Source organism: Homo sapiens, chromosome 9 (genome assembly GCF_000001405.40).
Source record: "Homo sapiens chromosome 9, GRCh38.p14 Primary Assembly".
NCBI classification, from domain to species: domain Eukaryota; kingdom Metazoa; phylum Chordata; class Mammalia; order Primates; family Hominidae; genus Homo; species Homo sapiens.
In genome coordinates, this window is record NC_000009.12 from 104,392,139 (window position 1) to 104,412,434 (window position 20,296).

Below are 20,296 nucleotides of genomic sequence, written 5' to 3' on the forward strand. Positions count from 1 at the left end.
CCAGTAGACTAATGTTTCTTAGTGTGGTAGTCTAGACCACTGAGATTCTTCAGCTTATCCAAAAAGAGAACCCCTTTGCCCTGCCTAGATTCTGAACAATGTCAAAAATAAAACAATAAAATTGAAGGCCAAAATATTACCAGTGCTACTGATAAAGCTAAGTACAAAAATGACCTTGCGGAAGAGCCAAAGTCACCTTCAAAGACAACTCCTGAACTGGAAAAGTTTACCTACCCAATGTCAGGCAGCACTGGACTAGGGCTGTGGGGAGGCCTGACCAAGTCAGATAAGAGCACAAGGCCAGTTCAGGCTGCCCTCGGGCAGTCTCATTTCCAACCCCGGCCAAGAAAGCTGTGCTAGAGGTGGCCTAGATTTCCAGAGTTTGGGGGCACAATGTGAGGCCAGATATAGATCCTGTAGAAGACAACTGAACTTGATTGTTTTAAAGGATTTCCTATCAAGAGCACCATCTGAAGTGGTGAGTAAACTCTCCAGAGAAAGTCCTGGGATGCCTCTCAGAACCCAAGAACCAAACAGGAAATAATGTGTATTTAGCCAGGGGACACCTCATGTACTCCAGACAAACCTTTCCTGTCCCTTACCTCTCTTTGCTCCCCGTTCCAACACTAGAGAATTCATTCCAACGCTGGAAAAGGAGGACAAGAAGAAAAAGAGAAAATAGGTGAGGGAACCAATATCATCTGCATTTTCCCATTCCAGAATTTTCAGTCTGAAGAAGGGCCAAGCTAGGAAGTGGAAGAAACTTTAAAGTAAATGAAACATTGAAGCCTTAATATAAGCTTGGATTTTTCAGACTGGGAAATAAAACTATTTGTTACTATCTAAAAGATACAGAACATGCTGAGATTTCATCCAGGGATTAGGAAAAATGTTTCTAGAGGATAGGTTGGAAAGGACAATTAACCATAGAGACTGACTTTTTTTTCATAAACAAAACTTAACTATAGAGACCGATTTTTTTAATGTATTTATTCATCATGAGAATTTATATAGAAGTTCTGAAATGGAAAGTCTCTTTTTCTTTCTGAGTTGTGATAGTTAAGAACTGTATGCACAGAGTGGCTCAAGGCTATTTTTCCTGAGAATAAAGCTAAATCAGGAAAAAGCAGAACCAAGAGACTGAAAAGAGGGAGAGGGAGAGAGACAGAAAGAGAGAGAGAGATTTATTATTGATAACATTTTCTGATTTCTAATTCAGACAGGCTTAATGCAAAGTCTCCTCTAGGACTGCAGTTTGTTTAAGACAATGCATTCTTTTTTTTCTAATTAAGCAAGTTATAAGATTGTTTTCTTTCAATTTGCATCAGAAAGAGTTCTCATTAATAAAGCATAATTATTTAGAAGAAATTAAAACTACATGTACTACACATGCTTCACTTCACAATTAAATAAAATCACTGATATTTGAGTAACTTCTTAGCCTTTGTGTTATTCGTATACAACAATGGATAACATGCACTGAACATTTATTATGTATCAAGCACCTTTATATGAACTAACTGAATTCCTATAATGACCTATGAAGTTTTTACTATCTGGTAGGCTCTTTGGCTTATCAATGCAGAAACTGAGAGGTTAAGGAAGTTGTCCACAGCCTCACAGCAAGTAAGTGAAGGAGCAGGGGTTCAAACCCAAGCTGTCCAGCCTACAGCCTACTCCTAATCTCAATGCACAGTCAAAAGAGAAGAAGATAATTGTTAATATGATTGAACAGTGCATACGTCCCAAGGTGTTATGTGAATAAATGCTTTATTGTATCTAAGAACACTGATTATAGAGGCACCTAAGTAAGTGAAATGAGCTATTAGATGAAACATTTCTAATAATGCCAGATCATTTCCAGGATTTTAAGTTACTTAGCTATACTGTGCCTCTCAATATGAGCAGGACCTAGCGCAGTCTGAACCTATGATACTGGTGCTAAAATATATGTTTTTCGGGTTAAGGATACTGTATTAAGTTTTCATGAGAAAACTAAACCATGTGCAGATGGATTGATGCCTGACAGTTTCACTCTTTCACAATACCTAATTTTTTTTTAACCTGCTGGAGAATAAAGTTGTTTGTATATATTATGAGGCATGTTTACTCAAAATCTGAAGGGAAGTTATCAGAGATGTTTAAAACAAGGAGTTGATAGAGACCCATTCACTATTATGTTTCATGTTCAGACATTTTACTTTTCAGCTTTTGAGATGAAATTACAGAGTGTCAAGTAGTCTCTGAAAAAAAAAATCTATCTATACATTTTGGGTCCATTTGAATCTGAATCTCTAGAACCATCTAACAGAGACACTGAACACTATCGTCCTTCCTGATAACTATAGTTGTAAATTAGAATGTTCTAATTTAATGCAAAAATATTGTGGGATCTGGCCAGCAGCCCACAATGCAATGGGGCTCTCTCTTTGTTCCTAGGCGGATCGGCAGGTTGAGAAATAATAGACACACACAAGATAGTGAAAGCTGGGTCCAGGGGGGTCGCTGCCTTCTAGTCCCATGGTGCCAACAATGCACTGGATATACCAGCATTTATTATTAAGTTTAGTGAGGTCAGGGGTAGGTTAGTGAGGGATTTACGGTCATTTGATTATGAGGTGAGATGGTCACATGGGGATGAAGTAATTCTTTAACATAACATCTGTATGCAGAAGTACAGTATACAGGGATAAGAATTTACAATATAGTGTGTGCATCAGTAATTTCTAACAGAGCCTTAAAACAGAAACTTAGTCTTTCCATAACCTATGATTAGCAAGATATTAATCAGCAGTAACAGTTGCAGCAAAAGCTGGTTACAAACAATCCATAGAAACAGGACGTGAAGCTAGACAACGGGTTAGACCAGAAATTCTCAGAAGGGAGTATGCCTTAACCCTAAAGAGGCCTAGAAGAGCCATGGCAAGATGAGGGCGTCTATAGCCCTATCTTATCCATATCGACAGGCGCCCCCATGCGTCCGTTTATAGGCTCTCCACAAGGGTCTCATTCCATTCCCAGAGCTATGAACATCTGCTTTTCTGGGATAGGAATCTTGGTGATATGAAACCTCCCTGACTGCACGTCCATTCATAGGCTCTCTGCAGGGGCAAGCACATCACGTGCTGTTGGCTCATTCTGGCAGTCCAACCTGGGTTGTCGTTACACAATTCTGCATGCAATTTTGTATTTACAATAATCAGGAGCATTTCATCTTTTATTCCGTAGCAATAGTTTCAGGGGGTCTCCCTACAGAAAAATGCATTAAAAAGAATACATCAATGAATATGGGAGTGCATATATAATATACTGTTTTCATTTCCTTTGGATATATATCCAGAACTGGGATTGCTGGATCATATGGTAGTTCCATTTTTAATTTTTTGAGGAATCTCCATACTATTTTCAAAAATGACTGTACCAATTTACAAGCCTACTAAAAGTGTACAAGGGTTCCCTTTTCTCCACATCCTCACCAACACTTACTATCATCTGACTTTTTGATAACAGCCATTCTAACACGTGTGAGGTAATATCACATTGTGTTTATAATTTGCATGTCCCTGATGATTACTGATGCTGAGCATTTTTTCATATACTTTTTCGCCATTTGTATGCTTTTTTGTTTTTTTTTGTTTTTTTTTTTTTTTGGAAATGAACTATCACTCTGTTGCCCAGGCTGGAGTGCAGTGGCGTGATCTCACCTCACTGAAACCTCTGCCTCCAGGGTTCAAGCAATTCTCTGCCTCAGCCTTCTGAGTAGCTGGGATTACAAGTGCCCGCCCCCACACCTGGCTAATTTTTGTATTTTTAGTAGAGACGTGGTTTCACCATCTTGGCCAGCCTGGTCTTGAACTCCTGACCTCATGATCCACCTGCCTCGGCCTCCCAAAGTGCTGAGATTAGAGGTGTGAGCCACCGCACCCAGCCTCTATGTATTCTTTAAAGAAATGTCTACTCAGGTTCTTTGCCCATTTTTAAACCGGGTTCTTTGTTTTCTTACTATTGAATTGTTTGAGTTCCTTATGTATTTTGGATATGAACCCATTATCAGATGTATGGTTTGCAAGTACTTTCTCCCATTCTGCATGCTGCCTCTTCACTGTTATTCATTTCTTTGGCTGTGCAGAAGCTTTTAAATTTGATGCAATACCATTTGTCTAGTTTTGCTTTTGCTGCCTGTGTTTTTGAGGTCTGGAATCAACCTAAGTGTCCATCAGTGGATGAATGGATAAAGAAAATCTGAGGTTTGCGTGTGCACACACACATCCACTTCCACACACACACACACACGAATGCTATCCAGCCTTGAAAAGAAGAAAATCCTGTCAATTAGGACAACATGGATGAACTTGGTGGGCATTATGTTAAGTGGAATAAGCCAGGCACAGAAAGACAAATACCGCATGATCTTACTTATATGTGAAATCTAAAACAGTTGAACACATAGAAGCAGAGAGCAAAATGGTAGCTACCAGGGGCAGCGAAGGGGAGATGGGAAGATGTTGGTCGAAGAGTACAAAGTTTCAGTTAGATAGGAGGAATAAGTTTTGGACGCTTATTCCAAAATAAGTATTGGACTTATGTCACCAATGGACAGCATTGTGACTATAGTTAGTAATAATGCAATATGTACTTGCAAATTGCTAAAAGAGTAGATCTTAAATGTTATCACCATAAAAAATAAATATGAGGGGTGAAGGATATGTTAATTAGCTTGATTTAATTATTGTACAATATATACAGATATTGAAACATTTCATTTTATGCCATAAATATATATAATTTTTGTTTATCAATTAAACCTTGGTAAAGCTGGAAATAAAGTAATAAACTGGACAAATGAATCTTTTGTTAAACTTACTTGAAATTAGTGACCTAAAGTTGTCAAAAGTTTGAGAAATATTATTCTATGTAATTACATTAATTAAATAGCATATATGATAATGTTTCCCTGATGTTTTAGTAGAACTTGTAGCCAAAAATCAGTACAGACTACTTCCTCCCTCTCCAGGGCCCAATTATATAATGTATTCTTTTTATAAGTCAGTGAGTAAAATGTTGAGAACCTGGAGACAAACAGCAAGACAGTTTTCTCAACAAAGTATCCACTTTCTACAACATTGAGTAGCAATCAGATATCACCCACTCTGATTTTTCAGCATTCTGGGAGTGAACATTTTCTACTTTGAGTTTCAAAAGTCTGAGCAGGACTGGGAAATATGTGATCTTGTCAATTATCCAGCCCCCAGCTATCTTGTTAGGAGGTAGATTAAAAAGGTTCATCGACAGTCATGCTGCAGAGACACAACCTTGTCATTTCTTTCTTCCATGAGGTGACCTTCCTTCATTCACATCCAGTGACAACAATGACATCATTTGGGAGGTAGAAGTGGCTGATTTTTTTCTCAGATGGAGCTATTATACAGCAGCAATCATGTAAAAATGTTCATGACATAATTAAAAATACATAAGGAAACACATGCTCTCATTCTGTTTCTTGTTATGACTTAAATATATGATCTCAATGAAATGAAACAAACTAAGCTTGCTGTGCAATGCACCCCACATAACAGTTTAATCAGGTTTGTGTGTTCTCAGATGAAAGATGCATTGTCACATGGCAAATGACCAAAAAACAGTTTTGACCTGCTGAAGCAGTTTTCAACAAGAGTCCTTGTGCACCAAGGCATCTGAATCCCAATGCCTCCTTAACGGTTTGGAAGTTTCACGATATGTATCAAACCTACGTCTCCAAGAGAGTCTTATGTACGTCTCCAAGAGAGTCTTATGTCTCCAAGAGAGATCCAAGAGAGTCTGTTGTGACACACTGTATTTCATTCCTGATATTGGTGATTTGAATCTTCTCTTTTCTTCTGTGTTAATCTTGGTAGAAGTTTGTCAATTATATAGATCATTTTCAAGGACAATTCTATGTTTTATTGAGTTTTTCTACTGTTTTCTTTTTCAATTTTATTGATTTCTGATATTATGTTTATTATTTCCTCCACATGCCTGCAATGTTATTTTGCTCTTCTCTTTTTAGATTCTTAAGCTAGAATCTTAGATTACTGATTACAGACTCTTTTTTTTTTTTTTTTTTTGAGACAGTCTCGCTCTTGTCACCTAGGCTGAGTGCAATGGCAATGGCGTGATCTCGGCTCACTGCAACCTCTGCCTCCTGGGTTCAAGCAGTTCTCCTGCCTCAGCTTCCCGAGCAGCTGGGATTACAGGCACCAGCCACCATGCCCAGCTACTTTTTTTTTTTTTTTTTTTTTTTTTGTATTTTCAGTAGAACCGGGGTTTCACCATGTTGGCTAGGCTGGTCTCGAACTCCTGACCTCAGGTGATCCGCTTGCCTCAGCCTCACAAAGTGCTGGGATTACAGGCATGAGCCACCGTGCCTGGCCCCGAGAGACTCTCTTTTCTAATGTATACATTTAGTACTGTAAATGTCCCTCTTGGCAGTGTTTTAACTATGTTCCACAATTTTTTGTTATGATAAAATATACATAACATAAAATTTACCACTGTAACAATTTTTAAGTGCACACTTCTGTGGCATTAACTACATTCACATACATTTTTTTTCTGAAACTATCAACATCATCTATCTCCAGAAAATTTTCATCTTCTTAAACTGAAACTATATACCTGTTAAAACACTAACTCCCCATTCTCTCTCCTCCCAAACCCTGGACACCACCATTCTACTTTCCATCTCCATGAATTTGACTATTGTAGGTACCTCACATAAATGGAATAATACAATATTTGTCCTTTTGTGACTGGCTTATTTCACTTAGCATGTCTTTATGGTTCATCCATGTAGTAGTAAGTGTCAGAATTTTCTGCCTTCTTAAGTATGAACAATATTCCATCGTATATGCCACACTTTGTTTATCCATTCATCTGTCAGTGGGCCCTTGAGTTGCTTCCACATTTTGGCTCTTGTGACTAATACTGCTGTGAACATCGGTGTACACACATCCGTTAGAGTCCTTGCTTTCAATTCTTTTGTATATATGCCCAGAAATAGAATTGTTGTATCATATTATAATTCTGTGTTTACTATTTTGAGGAACACCCATATCACTTTCCGCAGTAGCTACACCATTTTACATTCCCACTAGCAATGCACAAAGCTTCCAATTTCTTCACACCCTCTTCAACACTTGTTATCTTCTATTTGTTTCATAACAGCCATCCTAATGGGTGTGAAATGATATCTCATTTTGGTTTTGATTTTGATTTCCCTAATGATTAGTGACATTGAGTAGATTCTCATATGCTTTTTTGGCCATCTATGTATGTTCTTTGGAGAGACATCTATTTTGCCCATTTTTAATTGGGCTGTGTGTTGATTATTGAGTTTGTCCCATAAATTTTAATATATCGATTGTAATTTAACTTTAACTCTGTTTCACGTAATTTTTTATTTATCTTGAGATTTCTTCTTTGACCCATGGATTGTTTAGAAATATATTGTTTAGTTTCCAACTGTTTGGAGATTTTCCTGTTATCTTTCTATTGTAGATTTCAAGTTTGCATCCATGTGGAAGGTGAACACACTGTATACTTTTAATACTTTTAAATTTGGTGACATGTATGTGTGTGTGTGTATATGGCTAGGATATAACCTATAGTGTTGTAAGTTCCATGGATACTTTAAAATAAATGTGTTTAGATTTTATTGAATATAATGTCCAGTGTCTTATAAATGATCATTACACATTGTTGATTGGTGATGGTATTCAGTTATTTTATATCCTTCCCAATTTTCTGTCCATGTGTTTTAATAATTGTTAATAGAAAGGTGTTGAAATCTTCAAAATAATTCTGGATTTGTCTATTTCTCCTTTCAGTTCTGTGAGTTTCTTGACATATTTTGCATCTCTGTTTTTTGATGCCTTTAGGATTGCTAAGTCTTCTAGATGGATTAATCTTTATCATTATATAATATCCGTTTCTGTCTCTGGTAATTTTCTTTGTTCTGAAGCATATTAACACAGCCATTCCTGCTTTCCTTTAATTAATGTTTGCATGATATATCTTTTTCTATCCTTCCACTTTTAACTTGCCTGTATCATTATATTTAAAGTGAGTTTCTTGTAGACAGCATATAATTGAAAAGTTATTTAATTCACTGCCAATCTCTTGCCTTTAATTGGTGTGTTTAGACCACCTACATTTTATGTAACTATTGATATGTTGTACCTTAAGTTTGCCATTTTTTTCTGTTTAAGTTTCTCTTCTGCCTTGCCTTTCTGTGGGATAGTTGAATATTTCTTACAATTCATTTTGATTTATTTGTAATTTTTAAAATGTATCTCTTTGCATAGCTATTTTGGTTATTGTTCTAGGTATTATATTACATATACATAACTTATCACAGTCTACCAGTGTTATCATTTTATTGGTTCAAGTGAAGTATAAAAACCCTACCACCTTTTACATCCCTCTACCCTCCCTGGTTATAATATAATTGTCTTCAGTATTTCCTCCACATACATTTAAAACCATACCAGGCAGTATTATAATGTTTGCTTCCACTGTCAAATATAATTTAGAACATGTAAAGGAGAAAGGAAGTCTATGTGTTTACCCACATTTTTGTTCATTTTGTTTATTTTTGTTCTCTTCCCTTCCTGATGTTCTAAGTTTCTTTCTTTTATCCCATCTCTTCTGTCCAAAGAATTTCCTTTAGCCAGTCGTTAGTGTATATCTGTTGGTGACAAATTCTCTTAGCTGGCCTTCGTCTGAGAATGTCTTGATTCCTCTTCATTTCTGAAGAATGTTTTCATTGAATTTGGTATTGTGGGTGAAAATTCTTTTCTTTCAGCACTTGGCATCTCTTCTGTTTTACTGCTTTCAATATTTTCTTTAGTTTTCAGTTGTTTGACTATGATAATTCAATGTGCATTTCATTGGGTTTATTCTGTTCAAGGTTTGCTCAGCTTCTTGAATCAGTAGGTTTAAATCTTTTGCTGAATTTCAGAAGTTTTTAGCCATTATTCCTTTGAGTCTTTTTCAGGCTGCCCTCTTTCTTTTCTCCTTCCTAGACTCAAATGTCAGGTCTTTTGTTACAGTTCCACAGGTTCCTAAGGCCCTGTTCATTTTTTTTTTCAGTCTATTTTCTCTCTATTGTTCACACTGGGAAATTTCTATTGTTATATCACCCAGATCACTTATTCTTATTCTTTTCTCTTTCCCTTTCATATTGTATTATCATTGAGCCCATTCTCTGAGTTTTTATACTTCAGTAAATCTATTTTTTCTGTTTTAAAAATTTTATTGGGTCTTCTTTATGTCTTTTATTTTTTAATGTTTGAATACTTTTGCAAGTTATTTTTTTAACTAACTAATAATTGTATATATTTATGGGGTGCAATGTGATGTTTTGGTATATGCATACATCATACAAAGATTAAATCAAGTTAATTAACATATTCATTACATCATCTTTTTTGTAGTGAGAATGTATAAATCTACTCTTTTAGCAATTTTGAGATACATCTTTTACTTCTTTGCTGAAATTTTCTATTTATTTGTTGATACTTTCTATGATTTTGTTTTAAGCATGTCCATAATTGGTTTCATTTGCCTTGTTATTATTTTTAATATTTTGAGATTTAGGAGGTTTTAATCTTTCTAGTGATAGCTCCAGCTGAATCTCAGTGTTGGACATTTTTCTTGGTCCACCTTTACTTGCCTTAAAGCTCTGTGGTAGGCAGGGGTAAGGCAGATCCCAGTGGAGGTATGGTGCCAGAAACTATTGATTTATATCATTTCCTCACAGTTACATTGAAGTCTCAGCTTTCTTTCTAAGTAATGCTTAGGGTATAACTGTGTGATGTGAGGCTATTTCATGTATTTTGTGAAAGAATTCTTAGAAGATTATTTACTGTCAGTTCATGGTCTACAGCTACCTGACAGACAAGCTTATTTATTAAGCAAAAAAATAATATGGTTGTGACTTTCTCAAGCACTTACATTCTTACTTCTATATTCCTGAATGACCCAATCTCACTTAGGAAATTATTGTGTCATTCAAACTTTGAAATAAACTTTGCAAGTAATTTTGGGGATTGCCTTCCCAGATTCTGTAATTTTCTAATGAATGGGAATATTGGCTGGGACATGGCTGGGTTCTCATCTGTGACAATGGTGAGAGATACTGAATCTAAGTTAAAATGAGTAATAGGAATTCTATAACTTATAGAAGCAGGTGGTCACAGAGTCCTTGTCTCTAATTTGAATCATATAATTACCTAATTTTCAAGTCATCAAGGTCATTTGATTAAATCATTGTCTGTTAATGTTCTTTTCTATTCTGAATTCTTAACATAATCTTCTAATTTAATGCTAATACATTTCCTTAATAGTAACAATAACTACCTTGGAAATACAAAGGAATAAAATGTTTTATATACAATTAAAACAACTAAGCAAGAAATGTATGGAAACTCTATTATAGGCAATGCCAAAACTCTAATCAAATTTATAAAGTATTTCACAGAGTCCCTGTGTGTGAAGAATGAATTTCACAAAGATGACAATTCTTCCTTAATAATTTTTGGTTTCGTCATATTCTCAATATCCAAAATTGTATATAGATACACTTGCAAATAGCTAAGATAATTCTGGGAAGAAAAGCAGATTGAATAGGTAAGTCAACATTTTTGACAGACTAATAAGTGATATTTGTACTACCAAATACTTTATCACAATTATAAATATGTAATCCTAAAAAATGGGCTGCCAGCAGAAGAATCAAATGTCAGAGAAGTGGAAGAAAATTGAATTGAGAAAGGATATGTAAAATAAGTTAAAAATAAAAATAAAATACTGAAAATATTTGTCAAGATTATTAATAACAATGTGTCAATCATGTAAGGCTGACATACATAATACCACAGACTGGGTGGCTTAAACAACAGAAATTTGTTTTCGCACAGTTCTGGAGGCTGGGAAGTCCAAGATCAAGGTGCTGGCTGACTCAGTTCCTGGTGAGGGCTCTCTTCCTGGCCTGTAGTTGGCTGTCTTCTTTCTGAGTCCTTACATGGTAGATAGACAGAGAGAGCTCTGGTGTCTTTTATTTTTGTTTTAAGGGCACCAACCCTATCAAATTAGAACCCTGCCATTATAACCTCATTTAACCTTAATTACCTCCTTATACACCCTATCTCCAAATACAGCCACATTAGGGGCTAGGGCTTTGACATATAAACTGTCATGGAGAGGACATAATTCAGTTATAGCAACCAGGTAGTGTGAAGAATTAGCAGTAAGAGTCAAAAGCACATTAAATTGAAAAAAAATAATAAGTTGATTTTAATATAAATTAAAATTATCTCAATTCCAGTGAATCAACAGATAAATCTGAGATAAAAATGTGTCTCTGCCTCTTTGTTTTTTTTTTTTTTGCATTAGAGCACAGAAGTTCCCACTATCTTCAGGATTATTACCTTAAAACTATTGTGGTATCTCTTTGCACATATGTCTCTGCATATAACTGAAAAATTCATCAAATACAATAACCTATCTTCTTCTGCCACCTGCCATATTATTTGTTCCTTTCGAATTTGTTCCTTGAATGGATGGAGACAGAGAGGCATTGAGGGATAGAGGAGGATGGCAGGTAGCCCTGGCTCTAGCTGTGAAGAAAGCGTACCCACAGAAGAATGCTGAGTTGTCTAGGTTGTTTTTCTCCAAAGTTTCCAGGCTAAGTTATGAGTAATAAAACTCTATTTTAAACTGATATCCCATTCTCCTCAATCTTCCTCTTCCTCTCACAAGGATTCAATACACAGGTCATAATGTGTTTCTCAATCCAGCTTTATCTGCTTCTGGTGGTTCATGGAAACTCCTCTGGGCCCCTTCCCCAATGGTGGACACACATCCCTAGCTCTCAGAATAATTTTTACGTGTTATCTTTAACTGCCTTCATGAGTATTTTACTGGAAAAGGTACTGATAACTTTAAAGTATAAACTGCAATTTAATTTCTATTTAAAATTCTTATTAAAGCTCTTAAATAAAAGAAAAATTCTCACATGACTTGACCTTGCTTATTCATTATTTCTCTCTTAAGTCAGACCAACAGCAGCCTCTTAATTTGCATTGCTGTATTGTTCCTTTTTGATCTCTATCATCATGTCAGTCATTATGCAATGGTTCCCAGGCTATTAAGTTCACAGAATAGAACAAAAGAATGACCTCATAGCCATTTCTTATTTTTCTCACACTCGTCTTCTCATTCAATAGCCTTTCAGAACTATCTGCCCTTGACACACCTTAATACCAAGGTAAATTTTAATGAGCAATTAATCATTTTTGCTCAGCTCCCCATCTGCCCTGCACATTAATTTTCTGTCGAGAATTTGTTTATAATATCTTCACTTAAAACCTCATCTCTCTTCTCTCTTTTATTATTTTTGGGCTTGGTCAAAATCTAAATTTATACAATAGCCAAATGGTTGAGATAAGCAGTTCTCAAAAAACAAAACACACACAAACAAAACAACTTTCATCCCACTGGTTTGCTCACCTGAGATCGTGATAACAATAAACTTTTCCTCTAAGTGTTTTTTTTTAAAACTTTTAAACTAAAATCAACAAACCAGACTGGTTGAGTGGCATTGCAATATAGTAGGAAAGAAAAATGCATAACAATTAGATAGATATGAAATGGAATCTTGCTTTTCTCACTTCACTTAAACCTCTATTATCTTCAAACTTGAGTTTCCTCTTGTCACATGGAATCACTGTGAGAATAAACTTTATTATGTGTGCCAAGTACCTAACATAAGGTTGGCTTCTTGCCCTTCTCCTTAATGCATAGTAGGTTTGTATAGGAGACTTTGGGAAGGTAACTTACTGTGCCTGTCCTGTCTGTGTCTATAGTAGAAACTAAATATAATGTCTAATCTAATTGTTTTAAATATGATGAGGTTGGGTACAGGATTGGCTGGAACTCAACCCCCAAGAATAGATGGGGAGAATGATGAAATAAGAACTAGTAAGAAGCTGGAGGTATGGAACACTCATGAAGGCATAGTGGTTAAGTTATTTAAAGTTCACTCGAAGTATCCAATGCAGATGCAGAGGGGTTAGTATTAGGGCCAGTGTTGATATCTGTATATCTGGATTATCAAGTGGGTTGATAATAGATAACCTTCATTTTACACTTTCTATGTGCCACAGTTCTAAGTACAGTAGCCATTTAGGTAGCAATCATTAATTAAATCACAGCAGGCCACAGCTACATGCTTCCTGCTGATAAGTCCCTTCAAAGCTGGAAGTTAATTAATGAGTTGACCCAACAGAGGCATTTCAGTATCCTAGGGAGAGTTCTAGCAAGAATACAGCAGTGTATGATGTGTGTTTGGTCACAGATTGGATTAAAACTATTCTGGTCTCTCTTTGCACATATATCTCTGCATATAACTGAAAAATTCATCAAACACAATAAACTATTAGTCTTCTTCTGCCACCTGCCATATTATTTGTTCCTTGAATGGATGGAGACAGAGAGGCATTGAGGGATAGAGGAGGATGGCAGGTAGCCCTGGCTCTAGCTGTGAAGAAAGCATACCCACAGAAGAATGCTGAAGTGTCCAGGTTGTTTTTCTCCAAAGTTTCCAAGCTAAGTTATGAGTAATAAAACTCTATTTTAAACTGATTTCCCATTCTCCTCAATCTTCCTCTTCCTCTCACAAGGATTCAATATATAGGTCATAATTGTGTTTCTCAATCCAGCTTTATCTGCTTCTGGTGGTTCATGGAAACTCCTCTGGGCCCCTTCCCAATGGTGGACACACATTCCTAGCTCAGTTCTTTTCCCCAGTTAGAGAAGTGTCATGGCACAGTCTTCATCAATTAATAAATTGTCATAAATTCATTGTCTTGGCACTGCTCAATACTGAGAACTGTATAGGAATAAGTTAACCAATGGAATCAGGCTCTTCCAAAGAGTGGATGGGGAAAATAGAGGCCCACAGACATGGGCAATTTAAAAAATTATTAATGCAGGTCAGAAATATGCAGATGTCATATTATTTTACATTAACTCTGTAAAATTAAGTCTATCACATGTTGACTACGTACTGTGCTATCAAGTGTAGCATATTCCTGATACTTGTGGGGCAAACAATCTAATCATATTAGTGAACTGTGGTTATCATCTTTTTTTTTCTTGTTTTTTTTTTGAGACAGAGTCTCGCTCTGTCACCCAGGCTAGAGTACAGTGGTGCGATCTCGGCTCACTGCAAGCTCCACCTCCCGGGTTCATGCCATTCTCCTTCCTCAGCCTCCCGAGTAGCTGGGACTATGGTTGACCACCACCACGCCTGGCTAATTTTTTGTATTTTTAGTAGAAATGGGATTTCACTGTGTTAGCCAGGATGGTCTCGATCTCCTGACCTTGTGATCTGCCCACCTCGGCCTCCAAAGTGCTGGGATTATCATCTTTTAAATCACCAGGATCCTATCACAGTGCCTCCAACAGCAGACCACTCATGACCTGCCTCAAAATTGTTTGGGAATGCTTTGTTAACCTATGAGTTCTGAAGCCCTTCTTCAGAGTAACTGAATACAAATCTCTTGGGATGGGCCTGGAAATGTGAATTTTTAGAAAGCGCTTCAGATGATTCATTTGCACATGCTAGTTTGAAAACCACTGTTTGATTACCTCTGTGAATCAAACTGTTTTAATTTTCACTGCTCCTTTCCAGACCTTGCCCCAAGTATATACCATTTTTACAGTATTTTAACCATAGTAGAGATATACATTTATACTCTGCTTAAATGATTCATAAGAATGTTCTTGTTGCTAGTCTTTTTTATAGTCATTTTTAATGGCTACATATTATTTTATTGTGATACAGACCATGTTATGTTACTCAATTAATCACTTACAATTCTTTTGCCCCAGATATTATTATTTGTCTGCTTTTGGATTATTTAAGTATGATAGGGTCCCAGAAAATAGGCTTATTGGATCAAAGATTTGGCCCAAATTTTTTAAAAACTGAAATCAAATATAGGCACAATAGCAATTTTCACTTTACATTCACAAAATGAAGCATAAAATCTAAAGCACTTTAGCTTGACAGACATTTGGCCAGAAGTAGAGGGGATGGGAACAGGGGAAAAACCATGGGACATACATAACTTGAAAACTATATCAAAACAGAAGTTTTTTGCAGATGTCTGTGTGTAGAGAGAATAGAACTGCTTTGTAGATGCTTTCTAGACATACATAAAGTGTAAATAAAATCTCAGTGATGGCACAACTTCCTAGAAGTCATTTATAATAATATCCCTTACTTCACCAAGAGATTGTTTCCCATATTTTTATGTGGGACATATAAACCAAGGACTAGAAACAATCTAGTTCCTGTAAGATTCTAATCACATCCTTGCCTCTAGTATTGACTCTACCAATTCACTCTCCTCTCTGTAGCCAGGATCATCTTTTTCAGTCATATGATCATCTTTGATCCTCATTCCACTGTCCCTTAGATAAAATACTGTGCACACATTTTAATATGCTTCCTCATGTGCGGGCCACTTTGCTTCAACCCTACAATGTGCATTTGAGCTTGCTATGTAGAAGGATTTCTGTTAGATCCTTCCTCCTACCTACTTGCTCCGTAGCTTTATTGAACTGCTTAACTTTACCCTTCCAATTTACCCTTGATAACTATGGAACAGCAATTTCTTTTCAACAATTGTATTACCAATTGTTCCCTCATGTCATCGTGCTTTTAAACCAATTATATTGGTGTTGAGACGTTTTCAAAGATTTATAGGTAAATTGTTTTATTTTCCCCATGTGCTTTGCTCCTTTATGTTTTTTGAGATTAGAAAGACATTCCTCAGCCAGGCACAGTGGCTCACGCCTGTAATTCTAGCACTTTGGGAGGCCGAGGTGGGCGGATCATGAGGTCAAGAGATTGAGACCATCCTGGCCAACATGGTGAAATCCCGTCTCTACTAAAAATACAAAAATAAGCTGGACGTGGTGGCATGTTCCTGTAGTCCCAGCTACTCGGGAGGCTGAGGCAGGAGAATCACTTGAACCCGGGAGGCGGAGGTTACAGTGAGCTGAGATTGCGCCACTGCACTCCAGCCTGGTGACAGAGCAAGACTCCATCTCAAAAAAAAAAAAAAAAATACATTCCTCAAATAAAGATAAGATAAATATTTATATTTTATTCTATTACATTTAGTTGTCAGTTAATTGTCAGGTTTTTTTTTACTCAATTCTGTAATCTATCTGAAACTTTTTTGATGACATGATATGAGAAAATGATTTAAATTGTGTTTCCAAAAATTTTAATAAAATCTTCCAACACATTTTTTGTATAATCTATTTTTTCTTCATATTTTGCAATGCCATTTCTACTATGTTCTCCCACTTGCTTATGACAAAATTCAGGTTTCATTCTCAATTGTTTCTTTCCCTTTAGCATCTTGCCACAGACTCTCACCCAATTCTTAACCAAGCCCTTTTGTGTCTATCTCACTTCATCTCTGCCAACAACAGTTGAACCAAGTCACTATCATTTCCCATATGACCACTGTCAGGGGCCTCATAGGTGGTTTCCTGTCAACTTGTCTTCTCTAATGAATTTGCCACAGATCTGCCAAGGTGATAGTTTAAAAATGTAAGTCAAATTATGTTACATTTCCTTGCCACTTAAAACTCTTAAATGGCTTCAAATAAATCCTGGAATCAAAAACCAGATTCAGTCCCAGGGTATATAAAAGTCTATTAAAGTGTGAAAGGAAAATAAATCTTAGGGCACCAAATCACTAAGCTAAAGGGAAAAGTCAAGCTGGGAACTGCTTAGGGCAACCCTGCCTCCCATTCTATTCAAAGTCACCCCTCTGCTCACTGAGATAAACATATATCTGATTGCCTCATTTGGAGAGGCTAATCAGAAACTCAAAAGAATGCAACCACTTGTCTCTTATCTACCTATGACCTAGAAGGCCCTCCTTGCTTTGAGTTGTCCTGCCTTCACCTTGAGTTGTTTCACCTTTCTGCACTGAACCAATGTACATTTTATGCATGCTGATTGATGTCTTGTGTCTCCCTAAAATGTATAAAACCAAGTTGTGCTCCTACCACCTTGGGCACATGTCATCAGGACCTCCTTAGGCTGTGTCATGGGTGTGTGTCCTCAATATTGGCAAAATAAACTTTCTAAATTAACTGAGACCTGTCTCAGATTTTTGTGGTCCACATGTTGGTAACCACAGAAAGATTCTGAGTGGAGATGCCCCTGACTATTGACAAATCTCCTTTTGGTGCTTGGTACCAGCATGAGCTTACTTTATGGCTAAAACCAATAGGATAATTTGCTGAGGTCTTGGAGCACCCCCTCCAGAGAATTCCTGACCTCCCAAAAGTTGGTGGAGATCTAAAGTTTATTTTGCTGTACAACTCCCTGCTCCTCCACCCTTTTTTTCCAGGGTTTTGCTTGCTTCCAACAAGGAAGGCAAGATTTCCCATTTCTATGACAATGGAAGGCAGGAACTCCCTTTATGGAGTTTGAGCTTGCTCCCAGCAGGAAGATGAGTTTGAAGGTTTCTTTTTTCCTGCTTCTGGGATGGTAGAAAGCAGTCTTCAGGCTGAGATCCATCCCTGCATAAGTAGCTGAATTGGGGTTTTGTCTTGGCTAAAGTTTAACAACCAGCTGGTCTTAATTTCTCCTTACCATTAGAACACTCAGTGATCACATTATTGGGTTTTTTGTTGTTGTTTGTTCTGGTCTTTCTCCCATCAGATTTCACCAACTCTACCTGGCTTGGTCAAATCTTAGTGAGAATTACAAATTATGGGAACAAAGCCTCTGTAATTTGGCTAAAATTCCTCGCAACTGCAAAAGAGGAAAAAAAAAACCACATGCTTCATTTCTGGTTTGCTTCCTGCCTTAAAAAAAAAGTTCTTTAATTTACTTTTCTCCCACCCTATACCTCCTTCCCCCTTTGCCATATGCGGTACCAAAAAATCTAGAGAAGGCTTCTAATGACTTGAACCCCTTAAAAGAATTCAGAACAAAGGGTGACTCACCCATTTTGGGGTGTTCTGTTTTCTTTGTAAAGTTTCAAGAGTCATGGGACGATTCTTCTTAGGTCTAAAGCTCTGTTTTCCAGTATTGCATGACCTGACCTCTTCGGCTTTGGCGTACCAGAGATTACCTTGTACGGTGAGAGGATTTGACCTGGCATGTGTAATGGCAGATGAGAGCTATGGAGTTAGGGGTGGCAGAGCATAGTTTACAGGAAATGGTCTTGGCTGTTGTCTTTTTCTCTCCTAGGAAGTGGTTGTTTAAGGATCCTAATTCTAGTTCAGAGATGCATTCTAACGGGTCTTCTCTATTGATTTTTCTCCCAAAATTAATCTTGATTCAGCTTGCCTGTGAACATTTGCATGAGGAACTGAACTATTGTTTTCATAGGTAAATGAGAGAATGAGGTTTCTCAGCTCTGAAGAGAAAGGGCATTTGCTCCTCCCAGCTGAAAGTCACTCCTGGGTAACCAGGGGCCTTGTGGGAGTGTTGGGGACACAGGGAGCCACAGGGAAATCCCCACAAAAATTAATTTTAAAAAAAGTCTCATCCAGGAAACACATATAAGGGTGAATCACCCAATATTTTGAGCCCTCTCAGGGGTCGTAGACCTCTGGAGAGAGAAACTGAGACATGTAAGAAGGTGGAAATGATTCAGTGGTGACACACTGTGGAGTCCTACCCACAAGCAGCAAACATCGATCCAGCACACAAAAACCCTAGGCCACAGCTCAGTTCCTCCGAGAAAAAAAGTGGGAAACAAATAATCCAAGAATGAGGAGAAAACAAGGAGAATAACCCACTTTCAAGCACTCTGTAGGTTTTATGGTACCTCTACTTGCCAGAGTTTATGAAAAATGGCTATATTAAGGAAAAAGAGTCCTATGGTCAACGTGCAAAGTACAGAATTTCTAAGTTCCTTTCTTCTCTAGTTTTCTTTTCTGCCTTCTTTGAATCTGTTATTTTTATATTAAGATAAAAATCACTGGATTCAACAGGTTCTTTTGTAAGCTGGTGAATTTGTATTTATCTCATGACTAAAGTACTGAAGTAAAAGCTCTAGGATCTGTGTGTGTGTGTGTGTGTGTGTGTGTATTTAAAAGGCCTTTATAATCTCTATAATTTTATGTATAATTGGCAATTAAATCCATTTTAATTGGCTTATGAAAATAAAAGCACTTGAATCAAACACTATCAGAAAAAAGAAAAGGCTAGTCTAATGCTTTTTCAGGTTTATTTAACTTAAGTAAAATAATACATAAGCTGGCTTTATTAGAAATGTCTTAAGAATTGCCAGCATAAAATTTTTTGCATTTATTAAGCAATTTCACACTATCCCAGCCAAATACTATACGGTGTTAAAATTTGGCATAAGGTTACCAAACTATAAACCCAGCCCAAAACAGAATGATCTTTGCTTACATAATCTTTAATAAATAAGACATTGGTTTACTAATAATAGCTACATCTTGAATTTATTAAGATTAACATAACTTCTAATCTTGTGGCTTTAGGCAGTCTAGTCCACGGGCAGTAAGGTTTGTTTTGGCAAGAGATTGTTATCATCTTTGTTTCACAGCTAAACTATAAGCTAAGTTCCTCCAAAGCTAGTTCTGCCTATGCCCAGGAATGAACAAGGACAGCTTGGAGGTTAGAAGCAAGAAGGAGTCAGGTTAGATATTTTTCACTGTTTCAGTTATAGTTTTGCAATAGTGTTTCCATAAATTTAAATGATTATCAGAGTTTTCATAAATAATCTAGGTAAATGATTAAAATAAAATAATTATGTAAATGTAATGGGATAAATACATGTAAACAAACTCATCATAACTTAGAATATAAAGTTATATTGAGTTAAATAATAGATATTTCATTATATGGGTATTTTCCAATAAAATACCAAAAAAATTTATTCATAGGAAAACATTCTTTCTAAAAAAAACAGTGTTTCCTTTTTAAAAAGGTGAATAGTTTTTGTCTAATTCAAAACTTATGTAAAGGTTATATATAAAACAAGGTAAAAAAAAAAACCAGGAAATAAGAGAGATGTAAAGAAAGTTATTAAAATAGTTTCTTTTTTGGTAAGCAAGCTTAAAGGAAATAATTTCATATGAGAAAGAATCTTGTATGGTAGATTTAGTCCTAAAATAAAATGACTGATTGCTTAAGAGGGATGTTCAGGACAAACCAGAAAGTTCAAGCATGTCATGAATG

The 20,296-nt window shown here is 36.5% G+C and overlaps 1 annotated feature.

The window, feature by feature from the left end:
* Positions 17,733-18,932: an enhancer, noted in NCBI's record as "BRD4-independent group 4 enhancer chr9:107172152-107173351 (GRCh37/hg19 assembly coordinates)". NCBI's record gives its function as "activates an origin of replication core promoter dependent on BRD2, P300/CBP, MED14 and CDK7 cofactors, and independent of BRD4, by STARR-seq in HCT116 cells {active_cell/tissue: HCT116}" and the evidence as "EXISTENCE:reporter gene assay evidence [ECO:0000049][PMID:35650434]".